Source organism: Homo sapiens, chromosome 3 (assembly GCF_000001405.40).
Source record: "Homo sapiens chromosome 3, GRCh38.p14 Primary Assembly".
NCBI classification, from domain to species: domain Eukaryota; kingdom Metazoa; phylum Chordata; class Mammalia; order Primates; family Hominidae; genus Homo; species Homo sapiens.
In genome coordinates, this window is record NC_000003.12 from 15578221 (window position 1) to 15597033 (window position 18813).

The following is an 18813-nucleotide window of genomic DNA, read 5'->3' on the forward strand; positions in this document are numbered from 1 at the left end:
TGTCTATATTTTTTATGTTGATGCTGATAAAGTTGAGTGGTGGTTATGTAAGTGTTCATTACATTATTCTCTCTTCCTGTGTGTATAGTTAGAATATTTCATAATAAAGACATTTCAAGAAATTAAAAAGAAAAAAGTTATAGTATATTAAAAAGCATGCCTTAAAAATCTAAAAAGAGGAAACTTCCAATGCCAGCCAAGATTGGCTAAGTTTGAAGAAGCAACCCACACAGAGGGTAAGTTTCCAAGGTATTTCTCCCCCGTGTTTTGTCTCCTGGCTTTGACTCAAAGGCAGCCCTAGTTGCAGAACTGCAAGCAGCGAAAACTTGCAGAGAAACTGTTTTTTTGGCCAAAGGATCAGGAAAAGGGCCACTGCAAGCTGGAGAGTATGGGGGGAAATGTCAGATTTTTTTTCTTTTTTTCTTTATCTCCAAGCTCTGCTCTGAGGGCAGCCTTACTGCAGAGCTGCATGGTGGTGGCTCCCAAGCAGCTGAAATTCCAAGAGAAACGTCATCTTTGAGGCAAGAGGGATTGGGAAAAAGGGTCCCTGTGGTCTGAAGAGTATGGGGACAATCCCCATTATTTTTTTCTTCTGCAGCTTGTTCAGAGGGCAGCTTTAGTTATGTGATACTATAAGGGAGCAGCAAGAGCCAGGAAAAGGGGCAACTGAGAATGGGAGAGTGGGGGTGTGGAGCCTACAGAGGAGAGAAAATAAATCCCTAATTCTGGGTATGAACCAGTACATGTCTGGGGCTCACCCCTGAGCTGGACATGTGCAGACAGACTCAAAACAGCACAGCAAAGGCTCTGAAACTGAAGTGACCCTGGAACTACTTATATATGGTTAAGTTCACACTTCGATTTGTAGTCAAGCTAATCTAATCACGTTGACTGATTGCTAAGAGAAACCAACAAAAATCAACATTCTACAGAGGATTTTAATATGACCCAGAATCTCCAAATACAATATCCAAAAATCCAGGATACAATCCAAAATTACTCAGTACAAAAAGAGCCAGAAAAATGTGATCAACTCTCAAAAGAAAAGATAATGAATAGATGCCAATCTGAGATGACTCAGATGTTGGAATTAATAAACAAAGACTGCAGAAACTATTATAATTTACCCCATCATGAAGTATAGAAAAATATTCTTAAAAGAAATGTAAAAATAGAAGATCTCAGCAGAGAAGCAAAATATAAAATAAAAGGATTAAAAAGAAATGAACAGATAGATACTCGGGGACATGTCAGACAGTATCAAAATGGATGAAGGTTGACATAGAAAAAATATTTGAAGAAAGAATGATGAAAACTTTCCAAATTTAGAGAAAGACAATTTAGAGAAAGACATAAATTTAAATATTCAAGATTTGAGAATCCCAAAAGGCTAAATTAAAATAAACCATTTCCAGGCACATCATACTTAAACTGCTGAAAACAAAAGACAAAGGAAAATCTTGGGAACAGCCATGGAAAAACAACATATTACATACAGAGCAACAATAATTTGAATGACTGCAGATTTCTCATATGAAATGAAAGCCAGAAGATAGTCCAAAAATAAACAGGTATGCTTAAAATTCCATGATTCTTTCAGAACTCCATCCTAGATGAAGATCACAAAATAATTTAAATTAGCCTAAAATCTACCAAGCCATTGTATTTAAAATCTGGAATGCCACACACCTGGATCTGGCTGCACCTACACAGTATGGATGGTTGTCAGGGACAACACCCTTCCCCATAGGGGTGGGCAAAAATGGCAGTTTATATTGCTCCACCAATTTCTTGATACTCTCTTCTGCATGAGCGTAAGCAGCACCTATAAGAAATGCAAATGTATTGGACAATTCAGTTAAGCTATAGGCACTGTGACCCTTAAAAAAGTTCATGTGAAATTGCTTTTTACTTATTTATATTTTGAGACAGGGACTCACTCTATCACCCAGGCTGGAGTGCAGTGGCATGATTTTGGCTCACTGTAACCTCTGCCTCCCTGGCTCAAGCAATCTTTCCTCCTCAGCTTCCCGAGTTGCTGGGACTACAGACACACATCACCACCGCACTCAGCTACTTTTAAAATTTTCTGTATAGACGAGGTCTCCCTATATTGCCCAGCTGGTATGCTGGTCTTGAACTCATGGGCTCAAGCAATCCTCCTTCCTTGACCTCCTAAGAAATTACTTGTAGATCTTCTCAAATACTCTCCTTCTGCCTATACCTGGGCTTAAACTCAAAACAAATTGTGATTACAGTTTTTATCGCTGGTATTTTAAAATGCTTAACAAAGTAAGAGTTCTAATTTTCCACCAATAACACTCTCAATTATCCTGAAGGATGTCTATCCCAAAACAAAAGTCACATCTCACAGCTCTTGCTACTGTCACTTACCCATTCTATGCTATGGTCCTACTAAACTACACTCTACAAGTCCCTGAACACACTATCTTCATTGAGAGGCCCAGGTGGCCAGGGAAAAATGTTGCCCTGAAAGAGAAAGGCTCTCTCTACCCTCATATGTTGGTCCTCATCTCCAGTAAACCTCCTCTACACAAGGCCTCCTAGTCCAGGCATGGAAATTCTAAGGTGCATTAAGTTTCTAAAGATCTGCAGATCTTTCTACAGGCTCTGTAATTCTGTGATTGTAACAGAGCTAACCCCAGTGGGACACATTATCTTTTTTGTTGTTGTTGTTGAGGCAAAGTCTCACTCTTGTCACCCAGGCTGGAGCGCAATGGCGCGATCTCGGTTCACTGCAACCTCCACCTCCCGGGTTCAAGCGATTCTCCTGCCTCAGCCTCCCAAGTAGCTGGGATTACAGGCGCCTGCCACCACGCCCAGCTAATTTTTGTATTTTCAGTAGAGACAGGGTTTCACCATGTTGGCCAGGATGGTCTCGAACTCCTGACCTTAGGTGATCCGCCCACCTCGGCCTCCCAAAGTGTTGGGATTACAGGCGTGAGCCACCACACTCGGCCCACGTTATCATTTGTTTTCACAGTTATGTGCCTGGGAATAACCCTCTGCCCTATTCCCTTGATGACATTAAAAATACCTTATTGTTCAAATGTTCCATTTCTAATGTCATCAAGACCACTATTTTTTTTTGCTATTTTATAATTTTTCAAGGCTAGTATATTATTCCATATTCTGTATATATAATTCTCTACTGAATCCTAGTAAACAGTATCATGCACTTGCAGATTCAATATAATGCTCCACTCTACAAAACTACCTTAAAATCCCTTCTCATACATGTATGATGAAAAATAGTTCCTTTTCTTTAATCCAGAAAGTTTTCTTGTATTCTCCTTCCTGTCTCAATGTCTTTGTACACTCAGTTCTCTCTTCCTGCTTTGCCTTTGGTCTCTGTCCACTTGGTGAACTATTGTCTGCTTTTTCAAGATGCAGCTGTTGTGTCATCTCTTCTGGATAGTCCTTCCATACTATCTACACAAGCAAATTGTTGCTGCTTTCCTTGAAAACCCACCTCAACCTCTCTGTACACACCACGCAAGAACATACCGCACTTACTTGTTACCAGGTCTATCTCCCCTCCCCAATAGGTAGGAACCACTATTTCTCTGTATCCCTCATGAATGTTTTGTGTAATCCCTGCCTTATCATAAGCATTCATCAAATGTTTGTTAAAAGAAGAATGAAAACTAGCATCCACTGAGTGCTTTCCACATATTTTGCTATTTAATTATATCCTATTGAGGTAGTTAATATCCCTATTTTACAAGTGAAGCAATCTGAGACTCAAAGCAGTTGTTTCCCAAAGTCACAGAGCTAATACATCATACAACACATTCCACTCAGTTCTGACCTCAATTTTTTTGTCATACACTATCAAACTATTTTTAGTTTCTACAGATTTAGTTCCTAAGCAGTTGATAATTGATTAGCATGGTCATAGGTGATCCCAGCAGCCTCAGTTCCAGAACACGAAATGGATACTATAATAAATTGCTGACAGGAGTATAAATTGGTTGGTACAACACCTCCAGAGAAAGCAATATGACAATATACACTAAAAGTCTTAAAAATACTCATACCCTCTAACTTTTCTTTCTAGGAAACTTAAATCCTAAATATAGAAAAAGCTTTAGGCACAAACATGTCTGCCACAGCTACTCTAAACAGTTACTGGCAAAGATTTAAATATTTGCCAGGAAAGTAAGTGTTAACGTACACATGAAGAGACATTAAAAATTATATTTAGGAAATACTTTTAAGATGAAAAATATTATAATCTTAAATGAATAAGGTAGAATATAAAACGGTCTATAATATGAGCACAGTACATAATCTATGTGTAAAAAGGAATAGAAATGTACTAAATATTAAAAAGTTACCTTAGATGAAGGAACTTCTACTTTTCTTGATTTTTCCAAAATGTTTTATAATAGAATAAGCACATTTCACTAATAAGACCAAAGAAATTAAATAGGTAGTATTTCCTTAAAAGGGTGAAATCTCTGGGCATTAAAGAATAAGTCTGTAATTTCAAAACAAATAATGCTAAATGGATGAAGAGAATTCTTATTCCAATCTCAAACATTAGAATAGACATTAATAAACAATGAAAGTTTGTAAAAAGAATTGGCACTTTCAAAAGCCTAGCAAGATTTAGAGTTCTATTCATGCTACCTTTCCCGATGATAAGAAGGGGTTGTTTGGCATTCCTAATAACAGAAGCCGCCGTGCACACAGCAGAGGTTTCTGCCATGCTAATAGGAGGTGACATGCAGCGTTCCATGTACCTGGAAAAAAAGAGCCCTATTAATTAAAAGAGGCCAACTATGATCTTTTTATTGTGAAAATTTCAAATATATAGAAAGGTAGAAAAAATAGTACAATAAATCTCCATACACCCCCATGTAGATCTAACAACTTAATATCATTTTACCACATTTGTTTCATATATACACACATAAACATGCATTTATTTTTCATGAACTATTTTAAAGTAAATAGGCATCAAGACACTTCACCCTTAAAAATTTCTCCATGCAGCTGTGAATAAGGACCTTCTCCTATATTCAACTATCACATCATTATCACATCTAGTAAATTAACAGTTATTCCCTGATATCATCTAATAACCAGTGAAATGGCCAATTCATTAACAGAAAATCTGAGTTAATGGCTTTGTACTGTAGTAGCAGCAGTAGCTGTCCTAACAGTAAAAACATAATAAAATCTAATATTTGCTATGTGCCATTTATTCTCATTTAACTGTCAAAACAATGAGGTTAGGTATTAACATCATCTCCATTTCACCACTGAGGAAAAAAAGACTCAGAGAAAGTAACTTGTCCAAGATCTCCAGATGGCACGTGGCAGAGACAGGACTGAACTAGTCATTCTGTCTCCAAAGTCCATGCTTTTAAACACCTTACCACATTTCTCTTTTTTTTTTTTCTTTTCTTTTTTTTTTTCTTTTGTGGAGACAGAGTCTTACTCTGTCACCCAGGCTTAAGTGCAGCGGTGCGAACTTGGCTCACTGCAACCTCCATCTCCCAAGTTCAAGCGATTCTCCTGCCTCAGCCTCCTGAGTAGCTGGGACTACAGGCACATGCCACCAAGCCTGGCTAATTTTTGTATTTTTCGTAGAGATGGGGTTTCACTATGTTGGCCAGGTTGGTCTCAAACTCCTACCTCAGGTGATCCACCCACCTCGGCCTCCCAAAGTGCTGAGATTACAGGTGTAAGCCACCGCACCCAGCCCCACTACAGTTCCACTCACTGGGTGTTAATATTTTAGTATCATAATATGCATTAGTAAAAGAAATATTCAAACTGTCACAGTTAAGTATTTCTGGACACCAAGTCCTGTGCTATTTCATTTATTCTAATTAATATAAATTATACTGTATAAAATTTAGACATATTGTCAAAATATTTAGACATATAATAAAAAAGGACAATCTGTATAAAATTTAGAAGAAGGCTTACAGAGTTAACTTACCTGAGCTTACCCTCCTCCCCTTAGTAGTATTTTGATTATCATGTTCAGGTATTAGGCAGAATAAACAAGTGTCTTTTTTATCTGACTCTCCGAAATAAAAAATCACTCCTGGCTGGGCACGGTGGCTCATGCCTGTAATCCCAGCACTTTGTGAGGCCGAGGTTGGTGGATCACAAGGTCAGGAGTTCGAGACCAGCCTGGCCAACATGATGGAACCCTGTCTCTACTAAAAATACAAAAATTAGCCAAGCATGGTGGCGGGCGCCTGTAATCCCAGCTACTTGGGAGGCTGAGGCAGGAGAATCGCTTGAACCCAGGAGGCAGAGGTTGCAGTGAGCTGAGATAGTGCCACTGCACTCCAGCCCGGGCAACAGGGAGAGACTCAGTCTCAAATTGAAAAAAAAATCACTCTTTGGTACACAGAGTATACAGTAAGACCCACTGACTCTCTGTAGTCACTAGAGAACCATTTGGTCCACAACAGCAGAAACGCACTAAACAGTACCCATGATGCTTTAACCCTAAGTACCTATCTCTATCAGGGGATGATTTAGATACCAGTGAAAAATGCTTTTTGTACTTCTTTTCACTTAGTGTTTATTTAAGAAATATGAGAATATGAGAAATCATAGAAACCTCTATACTGGAATATTTGTTAACCACAGAGAGAGACAGCTAGATGTTTTTTATCCTGAGTCCTAATACTTTTTAATAATCACCCAACCTCTTGGCTTACATTATAAAGATTCTCAAGGACCCATATTACATTAACGAGGGATGTATATTTATGGTTACTGGAGGAATATTTTCAACGAGGAGTTCAGGAAGTTCTAAGTATTTGGTTTAGTAATTAAATCCATAAATAACTACTAATATCATTTTAATTAAGAAAATTAACCCTTTGGCTAGGATTCAGTTTAATTACTAAATAATCAAGTTAAGACAAATGGAAATTAACTTATAAACTGCTGGGTAAATTCTTCTAAAAAGGTAGGCATTATGATAATACATGTACATTGAAGAAAGAATTCCAGCATAACTATTACTCACTTTATAGAATTCACATTCACCTGAAGGTTCACAAAATCTGCTGGTATGTCAACATAGCAAGCACCTGGACGACCATAGATACTGCTTCTCACTGCCTACGTTCATTACAAGTAGAAGAAAAGATTTGTAAAATCTCAGTCTTATCATATTCTACTCAAAGATAATTTAAAACTGGAAAATGAACACTTTTCATTTTTCTGGACATCCTTGTGGAGAAAAAAATAATTATGATGAAAATCGAAATGTCCTCTATTGACTACATTTTTAAAGATTTTTTGTTTAAAAGGGAGAGAGATAAGAAAGTATTCATTTAGGGCTTTAAAATTCATGTTCTATTACACTTTAGCTTGGGAAATTATTCACCCGGCTCTGCCTGCCAAGTTTTTGCACTGTAATATGTACTTTCATCTGCTTCCTAATCTTAGTAATCTGGCAGTGTTTTCAGAAACTGTGATGCTGTTACACGTATCAAATGGTTTCTGTAACTCCTGGTTTTGAAACAGCTAAAATGTAATTTCACGTATAAATGCTGATTATAATTTATAATACAGGTTGAGTATCTGTAATCCAAAAATCCAAAATCTTCCAAAATGTGAAACTTAGTGTGTGCCAAGAAGATGATACAGGTGGAAAATTCCATATCTGACCTCATGTGACAGCTCACAGTCAAAATGCAGGTGTCTAAACAGTTTATTCAGCATCCCCAAGGGAAAAATAATCATCAGACTATGTGTATAAGGTACATATGAAAAATAAATGAATTTCATATTTAGACTTGGGTCACATCCCCAAGATGTCTCATTATATATATGCAAATATTCTAAAATCTGAAAAAATCTGCAGTCAGAAACACTTCTGAAAAGCATTTCAGGTAAGGAATAATCAACCTGTATGCTGTATTAATTAACTAACGGAGGGTCTTAGAGGGTTTTGGTTTAATCCCAATTTTCAAAAATAATCTTTTGCAAAAGCACAAGAGAAAAGGTACTCAAGGGTTCATTATAAACCTTTCTCTTTACTTTTGTATAATTAAAAAGGTAATTTTAAAAACTAAAACACAGGAGAAACTTTTTCCAAAAATAACTTATTTTACCTCTCTATAATTAAATGTAATGACAGTGAACACTAAAATGTAAATAGCTTTCTAACAATGCCATTTTTAACTGCCTGGGTATGTTCCTAATTGTCACTCATTCTTTTGAGAATAAAAATAACAGTAAGTATGAGCAACTGAGAAAAATCAGTTGACTTGGAGAGCTTGTTATTAAATACTGTACCTTTTCAATAACAAAAGGAATAGCTTCTATGCTGCTTGGGCGGGCAGAGAACTTGGTATATAATCTACAAGCTTCAACCTACATGGAAAATGAAAATCACTTAAAATTCAGCTCACAATCATGTTACTCTCCTGAAAGAAGACAAAATGTTAAGTCATTAATTTCTTTTATGTTTAGAGGCAAGATGGAGAAAATATATTGCCTAGACTGTCCCTTAAAAGCCTATTCAAAGTACAAAGTTTTGCCTTGGTATGATTCAGGAAGCGTATCATACCAAAGATGCAAAATCTTTTGGCAAAGATGCAAAAGTCTGATAATACCCACCATCTAACACAACACAGGAAAATAGGCACTTCTATAAACTGCTGGTGAGACTATAAATGGGAAAGGAAGTTAAAATCTACAAAAAATTTAAATCAGCATATCTTTGGATCCAGCAATTTCACAGATAAGAATATAAAACTTCATCTGTTAGATTTTGTTATAATAATAATCTATTCTTACATTTCTGCCAGTGTTCCTTTTATATACTTTCTTGCTATGGTGTTTCGAATATATGAATTCAGTAGTGATAATTTTTCACTGTTTAATATATCTTGAGGCATTATATAGAAACTGTTTCTCTTGATGTTTTAGTATGAAATCTATGAAAAGCTGATAGTCCCACAGGCATGACAAAATTAAGATCACCCTCCGATTTTCAGTCTATGTTCATGCCCTTTAGTTTTAAGGACTTCCACAAAAACCAGATACTTGGATTCTTTCTCTTCTGTTTTTAAATTTGATCTAATAAACTATTATTTTCCATTTCAGGAAAATGCCTCAGATCTATATATCTTGAGGCATTATATAGAAACTGTTTCTCTTGATGTTTTAGTATGAAATCTATGAAAAGCTGATAGTCCCACAGGCATGACAAAATTAAGATCACCCTCCGATTTTCAGTCTATGTTCATGCCCTTTAGTTTTAAGGACTTCCACAAAAACCAGATACTTGGATTCTTTCTCTTCTGTTTTTAAATTTGATCTAATAAACTATTATTTTCCATTTCAGGAAAAAAATATGTAGTGGACATTTATCCTGTTTTCTTTTTCACGTATATAGTTTCTGCAGTAACTTTAGATTTCCTTTTAATTAACTTAATCTGCTCTACTTATTTTCCAAACACATAAGCATCTTTTAAATAACTGTTATCGTCTACTATTAACTAAATAAAACTTCGATTCCCTTCTAAGAGTATAAAAATATAACTTTTGCATTAACTTATACTAGAGTTCAGTATTTTAGTTTATCATATATGAAATTTTATTTTTTGAAGTTCTCAGTAATGATTTCTGATTTACAAATAGACTTTGTCTAATGATTTTATTTATGTATTTATTTTTGAGATGGAGTTTCACTCTTGTCACCCAGACTGGAGTACAGTGGTACGATCTCGGCTCACTGTAACCTCTGCCTCCTGGGTTCAAGTGATTCTCCTGCCTCAGCCTCCCAAGTAGCGAGGATTACGGGCACCCACCACCAAGCCCAGCTAATTTTTGTATTTTTAGTAGAGACAGAGTTTCACCATGTTGGCCAGGCTGGTCTCAAACTCCTGACCTCAGGTGATCTACACGCTTGGGGCTCCCAAAGTGCTGTGATTACAGGGGTGAGCCACCATGCCCGGCTGTCTAATGATTTTAACTTTGTCCTGTAAATGCTCAAATATATTTATATCTTAAGTGTCAATCATTCACTTTCAGCTATTTGTTTCCAACAACTGTTTTTTCTAAAGACACGGTATCTTGGATGGGTGTGGTGGCTCACGCCTGTAATCCCAGTACTTTGGGAGGCCAAGGTGGTGGATCACTTGAGGTCAGGAGTTCAAGACCAGCCTGGGCACCATGGCAAAACACTGTCTCTGCAAAAAGTACAAAAATTATCTGGGCATGGTGGCGTGTGCCTATAGTCCCAGCCACTTAGGAGGCTGAGGTGGGAGGATGGCTTAAGCCTAGGAGGTAAAGGCTGCAGTGAGCCAAGACTGCGCCACTGCACTGCAGATTGGGCAACACAGCCATATCCTGTCTCAAAAAAGAAAAAAAAAAGAAAGAAAGAAAGACAGAGATAAGACCTGAATATGTTGTACAGACATATGTTTGGTCTCAAACATTTGGGCTCCAGCAATTCTCCCTCCTCAGCCTAGTAGCTGAGTAGCTAGGAATACAGTTACGAACCACGTGTCCAGCTTTATTCTTAAAACTGTAGCATTTTGTTGACATATTCTTTCAAGTTTCTTTTAATTTTGACATGCTTTCTTTCCTCCTTCTAAAATAAAAATATACTTGTCCAGAGTCTACTGATAATCATTTTGAGTAAGTTTTTTCCTCTTATTTCCCTAAAGTCTGGGAGGCATAGTCCAAAATCATTTTTATTCCTACATCTTCTTGACTCCTTTAAGAGCCTATTTTCAGAGCTTAAAATCCTGTCACAAAGGTGTATTTCTTGAAAGCTTGTTTCTAAGCAGGGCCTAAGCTCACCCTTAATATCCACCCTGAAGTTGTCTTATAGTAGCTCAAGATAATTACCTTTAAGTTACTTCAGGTACTTCTAATTTATTTATTTTATTTTGCAAACAGGAGGCTTTTTTATATCTTCTCTCTACCTCTTAATGGTGTGTATGTATTGTGTTACTAAAATCTTAAGAGTTGCAGGCCAAGTGCGGTGGCTCATGCTTGTAATCCCAGCACTTTGGAAAGCTGAGGCAGGTGGATCGCTTGAGCTCAAGAGTTCAAGACCAGCCTGGGCAACATGGTGAAACCTCGTCTCTACAAAAAACTCAAAAATTAGCCAGGCATGGTGGTGTGAACCTGTAGTCCCAGCTGCTTGGGAGGCTGAGGTGGGAAGATTGCTTGAGGTCAGGAGGTCAAGACTGCAGTGAGCTGAGATGGCACCACTGCACTGCAGCCTCAACAACAAAGCAAGATCCTGTTTCAAAAATTAAAAATAAAAAAAACCAAAATCTTAAAGTTGGATACCTGAGGAAACTCCTGGAAAGCTCCCATTGTTTCTTGGTTTCTTTCAGAGGAACCACCAATCACAAGCAAGGGCCTGAAACAATCATTTTTTTAACAAGATAATTACAAATTAGATCATCATGTAAAACACTAAACACAGTGTCTAATTCACAACAAATAATAAATGTTAAAGGGAGAGAATATTATATTTTTTTCTTAGAAACTGTAGATTAAGGCTGGGTGAGGTGGCTCACCCCTTGTAATCCAGCACTTTGGGAGGCCAAGGTGGGTGGATCACTTGAAATCAGGAGTTCAAGACCAGCATGGCCAACATGGTGAAACCCCAGCTCTACAAAAAATACAAAAATTAGCCAGGCGTGCTGGTGGGCGCCTGTAATCCCAGCTACTTGGGAGGCTGAGGTAGAAGAATTGCTTGAACCTGGGAAGCAGAGGTTACAGTGAGCCGAGATTGTGCCACTGCACCCCAGCCTGGGCAACAGAGCAAGACTCTGTCTCAAAAAAAAAGAAAGAAATTGTAGATTAAAAAATATCTAAGAAGCAACCTGATATGAGAGAACTTTCCTTAATATCAGAAAAAGACAAAATGTATAGTAAATGTTTTCCTTCCCTTCTTCCCCTTCCCCTTTTGGATGCTGACGCTAAGCTTCCAGGTATATTGACATAAAATAAATTTTTATGCCTTTCTTATTCTTGGGATAAGGGGAAGAAAAATTTTACACTTTCCTAAGTGAATCTATTTAGAAATTGCAAAATAAGTGACATTCCTCAGCAATGAAATTCTTATCCTTCAATGTGGAAAAAAAAAAGATATGGGAAACCTTAAGGTACTTAAAAAATATAACACCTTAAAGTAGATAAAGAAGAGAAAGATCAAAAGGAAAGTAAAGAAGAAACTATAAGAAACACAGGGCAAGAAAGAAAACAATGTCCTTTCCACTAGAAAGATTAAATATGTTCCAAATTGATTAGAACCTAACCCCCCTCAACCTGATCTCACTGGTAAAGTGCCAGAGACGGAGTTAAGGGCAAGATCAGAGAATAAGTACTAAATAGTTTATATATAAAGCAAACTAAATGAATATAAGAATTTCAAATATCTTCCTACCTATGCAAAACAAGGTGAAAAATTAGCCACATTTTACACACTGAGCTTGGATCTTTAAAAAAATAATTCTTCACTTAAAGTAAATAGAACTACACATACGTTCACACATACACACACATATTAGGAACTCTAAAATGTTAAAAGTGTTTATGGCAGCTGGGTGCGGTGGCTCATGCCTGTAATCCCAGCACTTTGGGAAGCCAAGGCAGGTGGATCACCTGAGGTCAGGAGTTTGAGACCAGCCTGGCCAGCATGGTGAAACCTCTTCTCTACTAAAAATACAAAAATTAGCCGGGCGTGGTGGCAGGGGCCTGTAATCCCAGCTACTTGGGAGGCTGACGCAGGAGAATCACTTGAACCTGGGAGGCAGAGGTTGTGGTGTGCCAAGATTGCACCACTGCACTCCAGCCTGGGCGACAGAGAGACTCCGTCTCAAAAAAAGAAAGTGTTTATCTCTAAGTAACTAAATTACTGGTGCTTTGAATTTTCTTCCTAATACTCTTTTTTAAGTTATATCTATTTAAGGTATACCATATGATATTTTGATGTACATATAGTGAAATGATTACTACAGTCAAGCAAATTAACATATTCATGTTACTTTTTTTCCTAAGATATTGTAGAAATAGTCACTTTTTTTGGTAAAAGTACCTAAAATTTACTCTCTTTGCAAATTTACAATACACAATATTATTAACTATGGCTTTCATGTTGTACATTAGATCTCCAGGCTTTATCGTACTTGACTGAAACTTTGTACCCTTTGACCTATCTCCCTATTCCCCCTCCTCCTCCTCATTCCCTCCCCGGTAACTAACTCTACTTTCAGTTTCTAAGAATTGAAGGGGTTTTTTTTTTCCAAGTCTTTCTACCCTAGATCAGCATTAGCTCTACTCAGTAAAATCCTGCAGTGACCTTTTTAAGAAAATGTTTTCAGTAATAATAATGTCATTACCAGCAGTTCATGTTTGCATTTGCCATACCGCCCAAGGCATGGATGAGACCTGGGCCAGAAACAACAAGGCAGACTCCTGGCCTAAAAGCAAAACAGAATTTATTAAAATCAGGTCAAATGTAACAACTGATTCATAACACTTTAGTGTGAAACATGGCAATCTTGGACTTCAAAGGAAGGACATACAAGTCTTTACTATAACTGATAAAACAATTATTAGAATATTTTTAATTAAAAAACAAGGCGATATATATATATCGCGATATATATACATACACACATATACGTATATAGTGTATACACTATATATGTATATAGTGTATATATACGTATATACGTGTATATATACACACACTATATACATAGTGTATATATATACACACTATATACCTATAGTATATACTATATACGTATATATACACACACTACATACGTATATATACACACACTATATACGTATATATACGTATATACGTATACGTATATATACACACACTATATACGTATATATACACACTATATACGTATACATACGTGTATATATGTATACATACGTATATACGTATACATGCATGTATATATGTATACATACGTATATATGTATACATGCGTGTATATATGTATACATACGTATATACGTATACATACGTGTATATATGGATCCATATATACGTATACATACGTGTATATGTATACATACGTATATATATGTATACATATATGTATATATACTCTGGGCACCAGAGTATACTCTATATATATGTATACATACAGACACACGTATACACACACGTGTATACATGTAGACACACGTATACACACACGTATGCATGTAGACACACGTATACATACACACACGTATACATACACACACGTATACATACACTTGTATACATATACACTTGTATATACACTTGTATACATATACACATGTATACACATGTACGCACATGTGTGCGTGTATACACATGTACGCACATGTGTGCGTGTATACACATGTACGCACATGTGTGCGTGTATACACATGTACGCACATGTGTGCGTGTATACACATGTACGCACATGTGTGCGTGTATACACATGTACGCACATGTGTGCGTGTATACACATGTACGCACATGTGTGCGTGTATACACATGTACGCACATGTGTGCGTGTATACACATGTACGCACATGTGTGCGTGTATACACATGTACGCACATGTGTGCGTGTATACACATGTACGCACATGTGTGCGTGTATACACATGTACGCACATGTGTGCGTGTATACACATGTACGCACATGTGTGCGTGTATACACATGTACGCACATGTGTGCGTGTATACACATGTACGCACATGTGTGCGTGTATACACATGTACGCACATGTGTGCGTGTATACACATGTACGCACATGTGTGCGTGTATACACATGTACGCATATGTACATATATACTCTGGGCAAGAGTGAGATGCTATCTCAAAAAAAGTGTATATATACACACACATATACATATATGTGTGTGTATATATACACACACATACGTATATATGTATATATACACACATACACACATACGTATATATGTGTGTATATATACACACATATATATGTGCGTGTGTGTATATATATACACACTTTTTTTTTGAGATAGCATCTCACTCTGTTGCTCAGGCTGGAGTGCAGTGGCATGATCAGGGCTCACTGCAGCCTCAACCTCCTAAGCTCAGGTGATCTTCCCACCACAGCCTCCCAAGTAACCGGGACTACAGGCAGATGCCACCACACCCGGCTAATTTTTTGTATTTTTTTTTGGTAGAGATGGGGTTTCACCATGTTGCCCAGGCTGGTCTTGAACTCCTGGGCTCAAGCAATCTGCCTGCCTTGGCCTCCCAAAGTGCTGGGATTACAGGCATAAGCCAGCATGCCTGGCCCAAAAAAAGAAAGATATCGGATTTCTTGTGAGAAATAAGGTACCTATCATTTTCACACCTTATGTCTCTAACCACTTATTTTGATCTGGACTACATCTGGACTAAATCAAGTTAATGGTATACAGAAGCAAATTTTTGACTGCTGAGTTCATTTTTGTATGAAAAAAGGTTTTTTTTTCATTTCTTAACAAATAAATATAACGTCGACTGATCTTTGATAGGAAAGTAATTCTGAATGCAGTGCTCTGCCCAAAATGTTTTGTGTTTTTTTTTTTGTCTTTTTTTTTTTTTTTTTTGAGACGAAGTCTCGTTCTTGTTCCCCAGGCTGCAGTGCAATGGTGTGATCTCGGCTCACTGCAACCTCCGCCTCCCGGATTCAAGTGATTCTCCTGCCTCAGCCTCCCAAGTAGCTGGGATTACAGGCATGTGCCACCACACCCGGCTAATTTTTGTATTTTTAGTAGAGACGGGGTTTCACCATGTTTGGCCAGGCTTGTCTCCAACTCCTGGCCTCAGGTGATCCACCCGCCTCGGCCTCCCAAAGTGCTGGGATTACAGGCATGAGCCACCGCGCCTGGTCCCCAAAATCTTTTAAAACTGAATTTGAGGCTGAGCACGGTGGCTGACGTCTGTAATCCCAGCATCTTGAGAGGCTGAGGCAGATGGATCACTTGAGTCTAGGAGTTCAAGACCAGCCTGGGCAACATGATGAAACCCTGTCTCTAAAAAATATAAAAACTAGCTGAGTATGGTGGTGCACACCTGTAGTGCCAGCTACTTGGGAGGCTGAGGCAGGAGAATCGCTGGAACCTGGGAGGTGGAGTTTGCAGTGAGCCGAGATGGTGCCACTGCACTCCAGCATGGAGACGACAGAGTGAGACTCCAAATAAATAAATATTGAACTTGAATGTTTTACCCTTCAGTGTGACTTTCTAAGCTTAAACCACTCGGGAAAAAGGTATCTCAATATAATTCAGTTCACCATTTTACACTTATAAAATAATTTCTTAAAAATTTCTGTTTAAGACAGACTTGAAAATAAGTAATTACCACCAAGTAAACTAAACTTCTAGAACAGTACTATCCAACAGAACTTTGTATAGTAATAGAAATGTTCTGCATTTGCAGTATGATACGGTAGCCACTACTGACATGGTTACTGAGCACTTGAAATGTGGCTACTACAAACTGATAAACTATGATTTAAATGTTATTTAATTTTAATTAATTTAAATGTAAACAAGTCATACGGCTCGTGGCTACTATACTTGCCAGTGCAGCTCCAGAAGTTCATTCAAACAGCAAAAATGTTTTAAATATGAACTTTTCGGCCGGGCATGGTGGCTCACGCCTGTAATCCCAGCCCTTTGGGAGGCCAAGGCCAGCAGATCATGAGGTCAAGAGACAGAGACCATCCTGGCCAACATAGTGAAACCCCATCTCTACTAAAATACAAAAATTAGCTGGGTGTGGTGGTGCATGCCTGTAATCCCAGCTACTGGGGAAGCTGAGGCATGAGGATCGCTTGAACCCAGGAGGCAGAGGTTCCACTGAGCCGAGATTGCACCACTGCACTGTCCAGCCCAGATAACAGTGCAAGACTCCATCTCAAAAAAAAAAAAGTATGAACTTTTAACCATTCTCTTAATCATTGTTCTAGCATTTTTTACATTAAGGCATTAATTAATAACTATAATTTAAATGCTTTCCAAGCTAAATGAAAAGATTAAAATATTTGTCATATGTAAATAAAGCGGCAGAAAACAGTGACAATAGTGTTACTTGATGGCCTATTTTTTTCAGGTTCAAATTCACAAGTTCCTTATCACAGAAAAAAAACTATTCTGGTGAGGTCTAGACTTTGAGAATCTTATTAGTTTGCATTTCTTAGCAACTGAATTACTAGTTTCATTTTTGGAAATAAAAAAATGTATTAAAACTAACATATGTGAAAAAAGTATGATACACATTCCTGTGAGAGTCCAAATTCTGCTTAAAAAATACATAGATAAGGGAAAAAACTGGAAGAAAATGACCAATTCTTAACAGTTCTGAGATCATAGGTGATTTTCTTCATCTTTTTTCCTTTTTTTTTTTTTTTTTTTTTTTGAGACGGAGTCTCACTCTATCACCCAGGCTGGAGTGCAGTGGCGCAATCTCAGCTCACTGCAACCTCCGCCTCCTGGGTTCAAGCCGATTCTCCTGCCTCAGCCTCCCGAGTAGCTGGGATTACAGACGCATGCCACCACACCAGGGTGATTTTTGTATTTTTAGTAGAGATGGTGTTTCACCATGTTGGCCAAGCTGGTCTCAAACTCCTGACCTCAGGTGATCCACCTGCCTCAGCCTCCCAAAGTGCTGGGATTACAGGCGTGACCCACCGTGCCTAGTCGATTTTCATTTTCTTCTTTGTGCTTTCTATATTTTCCAAGTTTTCCAAAATGGACATTTTAAAAATGTATTAATTTTTAATAATAAAAAGGGGGTGGTAGTTAGGTAACATGGATACACACTAAAAAATCAGAACGTGTGGAACAGCTCTCAACAGTCACATTTTGAACCAAGCATTTTTGTATTAAGTGTGCTGGGGTAGTTGTGAGATCCAAGACAAGGTATCATACATCAACTCACTATCTGATCACCAGTGATTCACTCTACAAAATGGCAATGTGTTCCACTCTGAAACACTTCTGGTATCATTATTCTTTTGATGTGGTCCTCAGAGAGTTTTAAATGTTTTTTATCCTTTGTTATTTAATATATTTTTCTATAATCTTTCCAAATGAACTCATCCTTCAGCTGAAAGACGTAATAGTTCTACCCCAAAATATTAAAGTAATTGAAGTGAAACAAATTTTAGTTTACCTGCTTGTCAGATATCCAATCGCGGAGGCAGCATAACAAGCCTACGAGAAAACAACACTGGGACTTGAGCATATTGGGATCCTTATAGTACATTTATGACAGCAACTTACTATTAAATAATAGACAAGAACATAGTGGTAAAGGCAGAATTAAAATATTTCCAACCTTAGTAATAAATGTTCTACACATAAATTTCAAATAATGGTTATCTAAATTTTAGTTTTTCAGGAAATTTGTTCATATGTATGTTATTCAAAACATCCTCTTACAATTGCTTAAATATCTGCAGGATCAATAGGAATGTCCTCTTTTATTAACAATATTGGTAATTTGTTTTCTTTCTTTTATTCTTCATCAGTCTCATGAGGGGTTTATCAAATTTATCCATCTTTTCAAAGAACAAATTTTTTTAGTTCTTCGAAAATTTTTGTTGGTTTTTCTCTATTGTTTGTTTTCTATTTCATTGATTTCTGTTCTTGTATTTATTATTTCAGTCATTTTGAATTTGATTTGCTTTTCTTTTTCTAGCTTCTTAAAATACAAATTTAGAACACTGGTTTTTAATTTTCTTTACTAATAATTTGTTTAAAATGATTCCAAGAACTGCTTTAGTTATAGGTTACAAGTTTGAGTTGCATCTTTTCATTATC

General features: G+C 37.2%; 1 protein-coding gene across 5 annotated transcripts in view; it reads right to left on the reverse strand.

Annotated features, from left to right (window-relative positions):
* Positions 1 to 18813, reverse strand: part of HACL1 (2-hydroxyacyl-CoA lyase 1) — a 40871-nt gene that overhangs the window by 17522 nt on the left and 4536 nt on the right. The window contains exons 3-9 of one of the 5 annotated variants that reach the window (NM_012260.4): positions 18164 to 18204; positions 13380 to 13460; positions 11320 to 11392; positions 8305 to 8382; positions 7028 to 7122; positions 4657 to 4769; positions 1690 to 1825 (exon numbers count right to left, since the gene is read on the reverse strand). In NM_012260.4, coding sequence (NP_036392.2) covers positions 1690 to 1825; positions 4657 to 4769; positions 7028 to 7122; positions 8305 to 8382; positions 11320 to 11392; positions 13380 to 13460; positions 18164 to 18204 — 617 coding nt within the window. The remainder of the gene's footprint in view (positions 1 to 1689; positions 1826 to 4656; positions 4770 to 7027; positions 7123 to 8304; positions 8383 to 11319; positions 11393 to 13379; positions 13461 to 18163; positions 18205 to 18813) is intronic. The other 4 variants (NR_104315.2, NM_001284413.2, NM_001284415.2 and 1 more) reach the window with 4 other exon arrangements.